Source organism: Homo sapiens, chromosome 13 (assembly GCF_000001405.40).
Source record: "Homo sapiens chromosome 13, GRCh38.p14 Primary Assembly".
Lineage (NCBI taxonomy): Eukaryota > Metazoa > Chordata > Mammalia > Primates > Hominidae > Homo > Homo sapiens.
The window spans coordinates 32,409,553-32,424,395 of NC_000013.11; the positions used below are offsets into that span (position 1 = coordinate 32,409,553).

Consider the following 14,843-nt stretch of genomic DNA (forward strand, 5'->3'; position numbering starts at 1 on the left):
AAGGTACAGAAAGAAAGTAGCTGCTTTCAAGGAATTCATGGCCCAGCCAAAGGAGTCAGACCTGGCACAGCCAGCGCAGCGCACAGAGGAAAAAGCTGGCCCAGCAAAGCGCTGAGAGAAAGGGTCAGGAGCCGGGGAAAGTGATGCAAAGGAGTGATGCAAGTTTGACTTGGTCCCTGAGGGATGAGAAAACTGCTGCCTCTTGGGGGAGGGGCTGAGCACACGGGCAGGAAAGAGAGGAGGAAGCGAGTGCTGGAGGGCTTGTAGGGGAGAAGGGGCTGCAGGGAAAAGCAGAAAGACTCTAAGGGTTAAAAGACGCAAATCATCTTTGAAACACTGTTTTCAAATCTGACTGCCACACAATTTAAAGAGAAATTTGGCCAGCTTGAACGTGTCCAGAGAAGAGTGATCAAATACATACAAGGTCCAGAAACCATGTCAGAGGAGCAAAGATCATCGGAGACATGCGGAGTGTTTCAGGCAGAATAGAAAATAAAAGGGATAAGGTGGATAGTTCTCAGACGCTGGGAAGTCTATTGTGTGGGCGCGGGAATGAACTTCTTTTGTGTTGGCAATTTGGGCTGGGCTCAGGTGGGCCGATCTGCGGGCCTTGCCCGGGGTCCCTGCGGCAGCTGCGTCACCTGACTACGTGGGGCTGGGCGGAGTGCCCTAAGCAGGGTCCTTCACACGTCTGGTGGTGCTGGCTCTCACTCCGCAGGGCCTGTCATCCTTCTGAAAGAGCCTCACCCAGGTCTCTTCACAGACCGCGGTATTTAAAGAGAACAAGACAAGAAGCTGCTCACCAGCGCTCCAGCACATTCTTTTGGTCAAAGCGAGTCACTTTGCTGGCCCACATTGAAGGGCGAGGAAAGTAGACTTCTTGATGGAAGGAAGAGCAAAGAAAATGTGGCCACTTTAAATCTAGTACAGATAAAGCCAGTGACACGAAGGAAGGGATAAGTATAAAGAAGACTTGATGAACCAGTGCTCATAGTTTCCGTATGAATGTCTGTTATTCGACTTCTTTAAAGATACGCACATCGAAAGTCCAAACCTTAACCTCTGATGCAAACAATTATACAGACAGGACAAAAATCTAAGGGTAGCACTGATGCATTTTCAGGTATGTATATTTTATATTTGTGAACACTGTACAGTTTTAAAGTTATTTTCATCAATATTATTTAAATAATGAAAGTTGTGTTCAGAGATTAAATAATAGTGTATAATGTATTTCCCTTATCCTCTGTACACTAAGTTAAGCAACCATGGTAACTGAATCCAAGATTTTTTTTTTCTTTCAGGTCCCGATTTGATATCCCTTCTAAATCTGGTTTCATTTGTTCTCCTATTAAGTCTGCTACTTACAAGTTTTGTTTTGGTTTTTGAACATTTTCAGACTTGAATTTTTCTTTTCATATACATACCCTTATCTGCTCTTGTTTTCCTCTTTGTGGTTTATATTATTGATTGGAAGTTAATACTTTATAATATTTCCTTTAAAAAGACTTTAAGGCATGAGTATCCAATTCACTGTTTGTTTTGTTTTATTTGAATCCTATTTCCTTCTAGAAAACAAAAACAGCACATAACACTACTGCCCTTTTAATCACAAAATTTTACCTTAGAGTAAAAGCTAAATGGCTCAGGATCACTATGGGGCAAGAACACCATCCATCATTTCCTGAGACACATCTGACTGTGGCCTCCATACTCTTCCTAACAAACAGGCAGACAAAACTAAGGGTGTTTTTCACCTTTAAGGCCAAGGATTTTTTTTTTTTTTTTTTTGGCCTGTATGATCTTCCTGAATGACTTCAAAACTTGTTTTATCTCCACCTAAATGTTAAATTAGCACTAGCAGCCATAGTAGCATGTTGAATAGGCAGGACAATAAAAACTCTACTAGCTAAATAAAGAACTGATTAAATAGACAATCTTGAGATTCTCAAACTTAAGTGGAAGCAATAAATACCATTCCATCAGCTTCAGAAGTGATGAGGGTTAAGCCCCAGTTCTATCTTTATGGTGGTCAGGAGCCTCATGCATTAGGGAAATTGAGAGAATGAAAATAAAAGGGAAAAAATAGAAAGATAATTAATTCCATATAACCTTCACCTCCCACAACCCCCGCTCAAATTCATTTAAAATCACTATTATAAGAGAAACTCAGGGGCTAATCTTGATTTCACAACTTATTCTTTTGTGTAATTCTTTATTTAATAATAGAGAACCATAGAGATATATTTAGATATCTCTTCAGCCAGTCAGTCACTCACTGAGAAAGTCAGACATTGCATGTAATTTTAACTTGACGCCCAGTTTTTTACTAGGGAAATTTTCAAGCATGCAAAAGTAGATGGAATAATATACTCGATCCTCATATACACATGACCAGTTATCAACATATGGCCAGTCTTCTCTCATGTCCTTCCTATTTCATTGCATCAGTCACTCCATCAGTGTTTAGTCTCCCTGCTTGTCTCATCAGTGTTTTCCTCCAGTTGGTGTGCGTGCAACAGGGACCAAACAAGATCCCCACATTGTATTTGGTTGCCATGTCCCTTAAGTCTCATTTATCCTATAGTTTGCCCTCTCCTTTTTATTTCCACCTGAACTTCTCCCGCCACAACCTTTTAATTAGAAAATACACAAACCTATGGAAATGAGTTGAAAAACAGTATATTGAACGCTGCTTACCCTTCATCTATGGTCACCAGATGTTCACATTTTGCCTTAGTTTATGTCTCTCCTATATATATTTTTGGAGAACAATATGAAAGTAAATTGCAGGCCGGGCGCGGTGGCTCACATTTGTAATCCCAGCACTTTGGGAGGCCAAGACGGGCGGATCACTTGAGGTCAGGAGTTTGAGACCAGCCTGGCCAACACGGCAAAATCCCGTCTCTACTAAAAATAACAAACATTAGCCAGACTGGTGGTGCACACCTTTAATCCCAGCTACTCAGGAGGCTGAGGCATGAGAATCACTTGAACCCAGGAGGCAGAAATTGCAGTGAGCCAAGACCGTGCCACTACACTCCAGCTCCAGCCTAGGTGACAGAGCGAAACTCTGTCTCAACTGTCTCAAAAAAAAAAAAAAAAAAGATAAACTCCATACATCGCGATACTTTATTCCTAAATTCTTTATCAAGTATCTCTTAAGAATAAGAACAATTCCCTGCATAACCACAATACCATTATTGCATCTAAAAAATTAAGGCAGAGTGCCCTAAGCAAGGTCCTTCACACATCTGGTGGGGCTGGCTCTCACTCCGCAGGGCCTGTCATCCTGAAAGAGCCTGAAAGAGTGATTAATTCATAAGAGCTAATGTTAGGTTTTTATTTTATTTTATTTTTATGCATTTATGTACTTATGTGTTTATTTAGAGATGGAGTCCCACTCTGTCGCCCAGGCTGGAGTGCAGTGGCACGATCTCGGCTCACTGCAACCTCCACCTCCCGGGTTCAATCAATTCTCTTGCCTCAGCCTCCCAAGAAGCTGGGATTATAGGCGCCCACCACCATGCCCAGCTAATTTTTTTGTATTTTTAGTAGAGATGGGGTTTTGCCACGTTGGTCAGGCTGGTCTCCAATTCCTGACCTCAGGTGATCCACCTGCCTCGGCCTCCCAAAATGCTGGGATTACAGGCATGAGCCACCTCTCCTGGCCTAATGTTAGGTTTTTAAATTTAAATTTTTAAAAATTCCCCAATGGTCTCAAGAATATTTTTCATAAGCTTCAAGTACTGCACTTGGTTATTATGTCTGGTTAACGTCTTTGAATCTAGAACTGTCCTCATGCTGTTTTGGTTTCTCTAGTTGGTATGAGAATGTTCTGCATTCTGGGTTTGTGTGGTTGTTTCCTAGTGATTAAACCCAGATTAAATGTTTTTTAAAAGCAAAGTACAGAGGTGATGTTTGTGTACTTCTGATTGCACATAATGACAGTCTGTCCCACCATGCTAAATTCAATGCTAAGTTCGATCACTTGGCTAAAGGGTGGTGTTAGCCAGACCTCTCCACTGGAAAGGTATCTTGCTTCCTTTGTAATATTAACTAATATGGGGGACAAAACTGTGAGCCCATGTACCGATCCAATTCTCCAACATTTCCCTCAGCAATCTTTACATCTATTTCTCTGATCACAAAACAAAAAAAGTGCAAAAAAGGAGTGAGGTTCCTATATTCCCCCATCTACAAATAATTATTAACATTTTGGTCTTCTTTCCAGGACTGGAAATATATATATAATTTCTTTTCATTTTATCTCTTGTTACATGAAGAGGAACATCATGTAGAGTACACCAAGTTTGCACCAAGCTTTTTTTTTTTTTTTTTTTTTTTGAGACAGAGTCTCACTCTGTCACCCAGGCTGGAGTGCAGTGGCGCGATCTCAGCTCACTCCAGCCTCCAGCTCCTGGGTTCAAGCGATTCTCCTGCCTCAGCCTCCTGAGTAGTTGGGATTACAGGCATGTGCCACCATGCCCAGCTAATTTTTGTATTTTTAGTAGCAACGAGGTTTCACCATGTTGGCCAGGCTGGTCTTGAACTCCAGACCTCAGGTGATCCACCCGCCTAGGCCTCTCAAAGTGCTGGGATTACAGGCGTGAGCCACTGTGCCCGGCCTAACCAAGCATTTTTTCATAGCAAATTATTTCCCACCTTATAAAATATTCTTCTATGACATGATTTTTAATGATATGGCATACTTATTCCTATGGATGTGCCATAACATAATGCTTAACTAATAATTTAATGCTTAACCAATGGTCTATGGTTAGGCATTTAGTTTGTCCCTACTTCTTTAATTATCAGCAATATTAGTTTGTGTGTGTGTGCTGATCATTTAGAGATATTCTTTGGTGAACTGCACTTTCACGTCCTTTGGTGAATAAAGCCTCCTTATTAGGAGGTTTATCTTTCTTATTGAATGTCAATTTTTTATTATGTACAGCAATTGCTTTTTAATTTTGTTTGTAATAATCTCTAAAAGTCTAAATTTTAGCGGGGTGCAGTGGCTTTCTTTTCTTCTTGTTTGTGATTCCTCTCATGGTTGGCTAAGATTGGTTGTTCCAATAAATTCTATTATTTTTTTAAAAGAGTACTAAGCAGTGAACAAAGAGCTTGGCATATATTCTGTCCCTTTAACCTTTATAACAATTTTATGAAGTAAATCATTTACTTTTACTTGGTTTACAAATAAAGAAACTAGGGCTTCAAGAGCTTAAAAACTGGCTTGGGTTTCTACCGTTTGCATGTGGGGCTGCCAGAACCTTACCTCAGGTCTATTCACTCAGGGCACATGGGTATTACAGACTCTGTGAGCTCTTGCAGATCTGAGAAAGCCTTTCTGTTGTCTTCGTATGAAAGACAACAGGCTAGATGAGAATTACTGAACTACAATCTTTTCCCCACAGGCATTAATATTTTAAATTTAGGTTTCAGTTCAAAGTGGGTTCACATGCATTGAACAGAAACCCCAGTTAGTGGATTTCTAACAGTGGTGGCTTCAATAAAATTAAAATGTCTATATCTTGTGTGTAAAAAGACAGAGGTAGAATCCAGAGCTGGTGTCACAACTCCATGATCAACATGGACCCAGGAGTCTAGCATCTTTTTTAGCAAGAGGCTTCCATTCTTCAGAGGGCCTCCTAGTGGCCACTGCAGGGCCAGGCTGCACCTCCATGTTCCACACAGCCAAAGAGGCAAGGGGGCCCTGAAAACTAGTTTTATAGTTGGGCACACTGCCACACCCAACAAAGTGTGCTTGCTAAAGAAGAAAGGGTAGTTAACTAACAGCTTTTGCAACAGTCTTTCCAGGATATATCTAGATATTTAATTTATTTTTTTAATCACTTCTGAGCCTTCAAGTCAAATATGTTCTATGATATCTTTATTTGTTGCTTTGGTTGTATTTACTCTGGTTATTTTTGGCTATATTTATTTTCACATTTGTCTTCTACATTATTGTTTGATTTTCTGCATTGTGACTCTGCTTATCTCTAATATACTTTAAAATTCTAACACTTACTTTAGATTCTTTTATATATCATTTAACTCCTTTTTAATTTTCTGCTTCTTAACCAACTTCCTTCGTATTTTAGACTCCTAATCAGGAGTTTTTCTTTAATCTTTTATATCATAGAGAGGAATTTTTTAGAAAAAATGTAAATATAGAGAAAGACAAAAGAAATAATAACACACCTGCATACACACCACCTAAAGCTCATAATCATGAACATTTTCTCATACTTGTTTTGTTGGCTTAAAATTCAACCAACCCCCACTTTAACTCTGGCACTCCCAGAAACCTTTACCGTGCTTCTCTCTCCCCTTTTCAACAGCACTTATCACCGCCTAAATTAACATACGGTTTCCTTAGAGGTTATATCCATTTCCCTACCTCTGGCACATAAGGTCCACAAGGGCAGGATCTTTGTTTTGTTCACTGATGATTCCCAAGTACCTAGAACACTGTGTGGAACACATAAACACTCAATAAATACTTGTTGAATTAAAAAATGAAGGAGCATTACATTTTTTAGATCTATTTATGTTGATATATAGACTTAGTCCATTTTCTTTAACTGCTACATAGTACTCCATTATCAGCAAAATAATAAATATAGCCAATGTTTATTAAGTGCTTATTGTGTGCTAACCACTATTCTAGAGGCTTTACATTTTTTACGTAATGCTCAAATAGACCTGGGAGATAAGCACTGCTATGAATCCCCAATCCCCATGTTACAGACAAAGAAATTAGGGCCAACGAGTGGTACAACTGGATTAAAACCTAGGCTTCTGGCCCCAGAGCCGCACACTAAACTGCTGTGCTTGAGCGCTATAAAATAACCACATTTATTTATGTATTTTCTCTAGTGATACTTATTTGCAATTTTCCATATCATGAACAAATTTCAGTGAACTTCCTTATGCCTACCTCTTGTGTGTATGTGGACATTTCCTGGGGATATATACCTCCGGTGGCATACCTGTGAAATCCTTTGCTTATTTTTTGAGAGAACAGAGCAGAGCAGATGCTAAAATTGCCTTTTTTCCTTGAGAATTTTTTTTCTCTGATAGAATACATGTTCCATGAAGGCAGGGATTTTTGTCTCCTTTGTCCACTGCTCCATTCTGAGCATCTAGAAGAATGCCAGGCACATGGGAGATGCTCAGTAAATATCTGTGAATGTATTAATGGCTCCTGAATACGACGCTCTTTTAGCCTAATTATGCGAACTCTTTTTTTTTTGTTCCCCGCCCCACCCCCCTCCAGACGGAGTCTTGCTCTGTCGCCCAGGCTGAAGTGCAATGGCATGATCTCGGCTCACTGCAATCTCTGTCTCCTGGGTTCAAGCAATTCTCCTGCCTCAGCCTCCCGAGTAGCTGGGATTACAGGCGCGTGCCACCACCCCTGGCTAATTTTTGTATTTTTAGTAGAGACGAGGTTTCCCCATCTCGGCCAGGCTGGTCTCGAACTCCTGACCTCATGATCCACCCGCCTTGGCCTCCCAAAGTACTGGGATTACAGGCTTGAGCCACCAGGCCCAGCTGGCAAACTTTTTTATAGAGTCCCAAGCTGTGTGAGAATTTCTATTTACTCATTTTTGTACAATGAGAATTTTACCCAAACCTTAGATTCAGTTCGTCCTCAATATGGTTTGGCTGTGTCCCCACTCAAATCTCATCTTTAATTGTAGTTCCCATAATCCCCATGTGTCATGGGAGGGACCTAGTGGGAGGTAATTGAATCATGGCAATGGTTACCCTCATGCTGTTCTCATGATAGTGGGTTCTCACAAGATCTGATGGTTTTATAAGGGGCTTTTTCCCCTTTTGCTCAGCACTTCTCCTTGCTGTCACCATGTGAGGATGTGTTTGCTTCCCCTTCCACCATGATTATAAGTTTCCTGAGGCCTCCCCAGCCATGCTGAACTGTGAGTCAATTAAACCTCTTTCCTTTATAAATTACCCAGTTTCGGGTATGTCTTTATTAGCAGTGTGAGAACGGCAAATTGGTACCACAGAGAATGGGGCACTGCTGTAAAGATACCCAAAGATGTGAAAGCAACTTTGGAACTGGGTAACAGGCAGAGACTGGAACTAATGGAAGGGCTCAGAAGACAGGAATATGTGGGTAAGTTTGGAACTTCCTAGAGATTTGTTGAATGGCTTTGACCAAAATGCTGCTATGGACGATGAAGTCCAGGCTGAGGTGGTCTCAGAGATGAGGAACTTACTGGGAACTGGAGTAAAGGTCACTCTTGCTATGCAAAGAGACTGGTGGCATTTTGCCCCGCCCTAGAGATCCACATGTGGAACTTTGAACTTGAAAGAAACAATTTAGGGTATCTGGTTGAAGAAATTTCTAAGCAGCAAAGCATTCAAGAGGAAGCAGAGCACAAAAGTTTGGAAAATTTGCAGCCTGATGATGTGATAGAAAAGAAAGCCCCATTTTCAGGTGAGAAATTCAAGCCAGCTGCAGAAATTTGCCTAAGTAACGAGGAGCCAAATGTTAATCACCAAGACAATGGGGAAAATGTCTCCAGGGCATGGCAGAGGACTTCATGGCAGCCTCTCCCATCACAGGCCTGGAGACCTAGGAGGGAAAAATGGTTTCATGAGATGGGTCCTGGGCCCCCCTGCTGTGTGCAGCCTTGAAACTTTGTGCCCTGCTTCCCAGCAGCTCTGGCTGGCCATGGCTAAAAGGGGTCAATGTACAGCTCAGACCATTGCTTCAGGGGGTACAAGCCCCAAGCCTTGGCAGCTGCCACATGGTGTTGGGCCTGTGGGTGCACAGAAGTCAATAACTGAGGTTTGGGAACCTCCACTTAGATTTCAGAAGATGTATGGAAATGCCTGGATTTCCAGGCAGAGGTGTGCTGCAGGGGTGGTGCCCTCATGGAGAATCTCTGCTAGTGCAGTGCAGATGGGAAATGTGGGGTCAAAGCCCCCACACAGAGGCTCCACTGGGGCACTGCCTAGTGGAGCTGTAAGAAGAGGGCCACTGCCCACCAGACCCCAGAATGGTAGATCCACTGACAGCTTGCAGCTTGTGCCTGGAAAAGCCGCAGACACTCAATGCCAGCTTGTGAAAGCAGCCAGGAGTGGAGCTGTACCTTGCAAAGCCACAGGGGTGGAGCTGCCCAAGGCCATGGGAGCCCACCTCTTGCATCAGCATGACCTGGATATGAGACATGGAGTCAAAGGAGATCATTTTGGAGCTTTAAGATTTGGCTACCCTGCTGGATTTTGGGCTTGCATGGGGCCTATAGCCTTTTTGTTTTGGCCAATTTCTTCCATTTGGAATAGGTGTATTTACCCAATGCCTGTACCCCCATTGTATCTAGGAAGTAACCAACTTGCTTTTGATTTTACAGGTTCATAAGCAGAAGGGACTTGCCTTGTCTCAGATGAGACTTTGGACTTGGACTTTTGAGTTAATGCTGGAATGAGTTAAGACTTTGGGGGACTGTTAGGAAGACATGATTGTGTTTTGAAATGTGAGGACATGAGATTTTGGAGGAGCCAGGGGCAGTCCCCACCCAAATCTCATCTTGAATTATAGTTCCCATAATCCCCACGTCATGGGAATTACCTCCGATGGGAGGTAACTGAATCATGGGAGCAGTTACCCTCATGCTGTTCTCATGATAGTGAGTTCTCACAAGATCTGGCTTTTTTTTTTTTTTTTTTTTTTTTGAGACAGAGTCTTGCTCGATCACCCAGGCTGGAGTGCAGTGGCACAATCTAAGCTCACTGCAACCTACATCTCTCGGGTTCAAGTGATTCTCCTGCCTCAGCCTCTTGACTAGCCAGGATTACGGGTGCTTGCCACCATGCTTGGCTAATTTTTTTTTTTTTTTTTTTTTTTTTTTTTTTTTTTGTATTTTACAGACGGGGTTTCACTATGTTGGCTAGGCTGGTCTTGAACTCCTGACTTCAGGTGATCTGCCTGCCTTGGCCTCCCAAAGTGCTGGGATTACAGGCATAAGCCACTGCGCCCGGCTGATCTGATGGTTTCATAAGGCTTTTCCCCCTTTTGCTCAGCACTTCTCCTTCCTGCCGCCATGTGAAGAAGGACATGTTTGCTTCCCCTTCCACCACGATTGTAAGTTGTTTCCTGAGGCCTCCCCGGCCATGCTGAACTGTGAGTCAATTAAACCTCTTTCCTTTATAAATTATCCAGTTTTGGGTATGTCTTTATTAGTAGAATGAGAACAGACTAATACAACCCTTAAAGGAGACTGACGGAGAGGATTCTTCCTGGATCCCAGCACTTCCTCTGAATGCTACTGACATTCTTCTTGAGGACTTTAAACTGGGAGATAGAAAACAGATTCCATGGCTCAGCAGCCTGAGAGCAGGGAGGGAGCCAAGCTATAGATGACATGGGCAGCCTCCCCTGAGGCCAGGTGTGGCCGAACCTGGGCAGTGCTGCCACCCACCCCACCAGGGCCAAGTCCTGTCCTTGGAGAGCCAAGCCTCAATCACTGCTAGCCTCAAGTGTCCCCAAGCCACAGTGGCTAGGGGGACTCAGGGAACAGTTCCCAGTCTGCCCTACTTCTCTTACCTTTACCCCTCATACCTCCAAAGTAGACCATGTTCATGAGGTCCAAAGCCAGGCTCCCAGAGAGCCCTCATTCTCGTTTGTCAGTGTGGTCCCACAGACTCTATTGAGCAGAAATTCCTTTAAGTATCTTGCATGTGAACTTTTGTAGGCTCTCACAGCTGTGCAGGTTTCACCTGTGTTTGTGTTCTGTTGGTTCAGTCATGAGCAGAATTGGGGAAGGAATCAGGCACACCTACCTCAGTACTAATTTTTTTTGGCTGTTTTTTCCCAAAATGTCATAGATCAGTTACAGATAACAGAAGAGTAACTGTACAGGAAAACTGTCACTTTGGGCTGTCTGTGCTGCTTAAATGGGAAGGCGGCTGCATCTTTGATCCCAATTTTTAAATTTCTTCTTACTGTAACTATGAGGTAAAGGAGCCGGCACATCAAACATTTTCACCTGCAACAAATAGGAATCATTTTCTTATGCACCGAATTGAGAACTTTGGAATGAGTGGCTCTGTTTTTTCCTTTTCTTCCCCCTTGTCTGTCCTCCATATCCCATTCATTCTTTTTTATTTATTTTATTTTTTTTAGACCGAGTTTTGCTCTTGTTGCCCAGGCTGGAGTGCAATGGCGTAATCTCGGCTCACTGCAACTTCCACCTCCCAGGTTCAAGTGATTCTCCTGCCTCAGCCTCCCAAGTAGCTGGGATTACAGGCACCTGCCACCATGCCCAGCTAATTTTTTGCATTTTTAGTAGAGACGGGGTTTCACCATGTTGGCCAGGATGGTCTCGAACTCCTGACCTCAGGTGATTCCACCCGCCTCAGCCTCCCAAAGTGCTGGGATTACAGGCATGAGCCACCATGCCCAGCCTCATTCTTTTACATTTCTCTTTATGTGAATAATCTGCCCTTTGGTTTCGTTCTTTACTCAAGAGCCATGCTGACATCCAAGCTTCCACATCTTAGGAGGCATCTCACATTGCGTTTCATGAACTAATGCATTCATCAAATGTTGAATAAAGGCCTGTGATGTGCCTGGCCTTCTTTTAGGAGCTGGACAGAATAAAGTTCCTGATCTCATGGAATTTACATCATATCTCATGAAGCTTACGTTCTAGTAAAAGAAATAGATAATAAATAAATATACGTCAGTGGTACCAATGCCAAGAAGAAAAGAAAGCCAAGGTACAAGGCAACAAATGGTAGCATGAAAGTCCCTTTCAGGCCCTCTTTCTTCTTCAGCATATCCTTAAAATCTGTGGGGAAAGAGTGCTGGACAATCCTGGCTATACAATCATACTTCAGCAGGACTCCCCAATAATTGTGAAAGGGATGTAGGTATGTTTGTCCATGAACTTCCCTAGTAATATAAGATCACTTGGTGTATTATGAAATCCCCTGAGTCTCTCAAATGTGTGACTCTCCAATCCTAAAATCCTCATCTATAAAATAAAAATGACTACATCCCAGGGTTATTGTGAAGATTCAATAAGCCAGTGTCCAAAAAGGGCCGGGCAGACAGTCAGCAGTAACCATGTGCTGGCTTTTCTTTCCCCATTTCTCCCTTCCCCTTTCCCAGACTCTTACCTTGATAAAAACAGCCTTCTCCCCAAGCCATACATATGATCTGCCTTATGAAGGAACAGTTGGAAGGCAGACTAATTTTTCTTTATTATAAAATTTCCTTAATCCCAGAGAGCCTCAGTATCTTCAGATAACTTGGCGTGACTAAAAAAAAATTCTTATTGGGTTCATCCAGAGACTGAGTGGCCATAGGCGGGTGCTATTATGTAGGGGAAGGTTCATGAAACTGCCATGAAGGAACTAAGGCATTGACTTATAAATATCCTAACATGTGAGCAGATGAGAAAGAGACTTTAGACCTGCTTGGGAGTTGGAAGTTGACTACCACATCTCTCTCCAACACATCATAACCAGGATAAATATGGAAACGTATTTAAAAATCTAAATCTCATTTCCTCCCATTGCCCTCAATGGTACGTTAATAAAGAAAATAAATTCCCTGGTGAGTAATATTTTTTATATTATGAGAAACATTAATATTGACAACAAAAAATGTAGCTTCCTTACCCTGACAATTGAAATCCAGGTTAACTTAGCCCGCTTATAAGGCTCTTGTTTTTTCATTATACGACAGATCAAAACCAAACTCATTACCCTTTCACGAGATCACCCCCTTTCCGGCCTCTTCTTTTGGGGTACACAAAAAAAGCTGTTAGAAATAGGAGAACACATCCCTTTGACCCTGATCAAGATGTTTAGCTTCTCAGTGTCTTGGGCTCAGACCAGATGAACTCCAGGGGAGTTCCTATACATCTCCTGAACTTTTCCTTTGAAAGTATTCTTCCCCTATTCTTCCTTCCTTCATCCATTTCTACTTCCTCTCGGGTCATAATCCACACCTGCAATATCGGATTGCCCCAGTTCAGCAGGGTCTTCTTCCATTGTTCCAACAGCTCCAGGAATGTGTTTGTGGTGAATCTCCTGTATAGCTGGGCAATCTTTCCTGATACAGCCTCTCCAATGAGCAAGAACAAGCACATACCACGCTGTATATTTGCACTCTTTGTTAAACAGATACAGCTTTTAAGTCCTCATTCATCCCAGCCTCCAGAGAGAGGGTAAGGACAAGGACTCTCGGTAGTGAGGAGAGGAGATTTAGGACCCACCTTAGGAAAATTGTGAAAAATACAAAAAGCTAGTAGTCATTTTCCAAGTAGACCTAGATGACTAAAGATTTGATATATCACCTGTCTGACCCTCCACTTTTATATTCACAGAGTTGGAATGCTGCAAACATTCTATTGTGAGCTTGCTTTTATTAATGAGAGCCCTGGCCTCATAAAGAAACACACCACAGTCCAGGCCTGCTGGCTAGGAGCACTGTGGAGCAGAGTATTCTTTGGGGTCCAACTACTCACTACTTAGCCAACTTAACTGGCCCCCTGTTCTCACTGTTTCTCACATTCCACTGCTTATCTGGTTGTAAAGTATACTTTTCTCCCCATCTCCGCCTTACCATTGCATCACATTAGAAAAGCATCCTTTCACTTCTGTGCAAGGCTCTATAATGAAAAGAAATAATGAAAAGGTACTTCTCATGATGGAAAATTCCATGTTATCCAGAGATATGAATAAGGAGAAAAGACAGCTGTCAGCGGGCATCCTTTGAGCCTAACTGAATCCATGTTACAAACCATTTGTGATGGTGCCAAAAGGAACCAGAACATTGCAAAGGATGCAACATGTACTACAGGGTGGTTCCCCTGACTTTGCTTTGATTGAAATGTAAAGATTCAAAAAAATTCTGGGGAACTGAAATAAGATTGACAACTTTTAATTTTTCAAATAAGACCATGAAAAAACAAAGAAAGGCTACCCTCTATTATGGCAATTTCATTTAAAAAGGATGTTTTAGTGGTATGCCCATACAAGGTAATATTTTATTGAGATACAAAAATAGTAAAGTTCTGACACATGCTACAACATGGATGAACCTTGAAAACATTAAGCTACATGAAATTTAGCCAGACACAAAAGGACAAATACCATATGATCCACTTACATGAAGCATGTAAAGGAGGCAAATGCATAGAGACAGGAAGTAGCTGAGAGGTTACCCGGGGTCGGGGGAGTGGGGAATAGGCAGTTATTGCTTAATGGGCACAGAGTGTGTTTGGAGTGATAAGAAATTTTTGAAATAGATAGTGGTAATGGTTGTACAACATTGTGAGTGTAGTTCCACATAATACAATGCCAGTGGATTGTATATAAAAATGGTTTAAATGGTCAAAACCGGAAGGCATTTTAACACACACAGTGGAAAGCACAGAGGTTCACCCATGGATGCTTTCATTGAGGTAGCGGAAAGGACAGGTGCAGTTCCAGGTGAGTTTGTCAGCTGAGCTGTGAAAGAGAGAGTTCTGGCTCATCTGCTGAGAATGAAAGGGTCTTGGCATTAGAATCTTATTTCTTCTGACAACAGCTCTCTACTCCTTTGTTCAGCCTTTAATGTTCTCCATGATCTGGTCCTGGGCTTACTTCACCAATACACTTACTACAATGAAGCCTTCACTTCAATCAAGCCCGGGAGCACACCCAGCTCTCTGCCACCTCCATCTCCTTAGTCGGGCTGTTGTTCCTTTTCCTTCGTTCAGCCACCTCCTTCCCATCTTCAAGGCCAGCTCAAGAACCGTCTCCATGTGGAGAAGATCCTTTCTCCCTAATTAGCCTTCATCCTCCTCACTGCC

At 42.3% G+C, this 14,843-nt stretch overlaps 1 protein-coding gene and 1 non-coding gene across 28 annotated transcripts in view; both read right to left on the reverse strand.

Annotated features, from left to right (window-relative positions):
• N4BP2L1 (NEDD4 binding protein 2 like 1) overlaps nucleotides 1-14,843 on the reverse strand; it is a 28,893-nt gene that overhangs the window by 8,830 nt on the left and 5,220 nt on the right. For 3 of the 27 annotated variants that reach the window (XM_047430763.1, XM_047430761.1, XM_047430762.1), the window contains exons 2-3: nucleotides 6,947-11,024; nucleotides 6,407-6,477 (exon numbers count right to left, since the gene is read on the reverse strand). The exons of 14 other annotated variants lie outside the window; for them this stretch is intronic. In XM_047430763.1, coding sequence (XP_047286719.1) covers nucleotides 6,407-6,477; nucleotides 6,947-7,327 — 452 coding nt within the window. In that variant the 5' untranslated portion in view covers nucleotides 7,328-11,024. Of the gene's footprint in view, nucleotides 1-1,975; nucleotides 2,041-6,406; nucleotides 6,478-6,946; nucleotides 11,025-14,843 lie in introns of those variants that run through there. 10 more of the 27 variants (NM_001353629.2, NM_001353631.2, NM_001353628.2 and 7 more) reach the window with 7 other exon arrangements.
• Nucleotides 10,838-10,964, reverse strand: LOC124903256 (small nucleolar RNA SNORA16B/SNORA16A family). Its single transcript, XR_007063951.1, has one exon. It is a non-coding gene; the product is annotated as a small nucleolar RNA SNORA16B/SNORA16A family (small nucleolar RNA).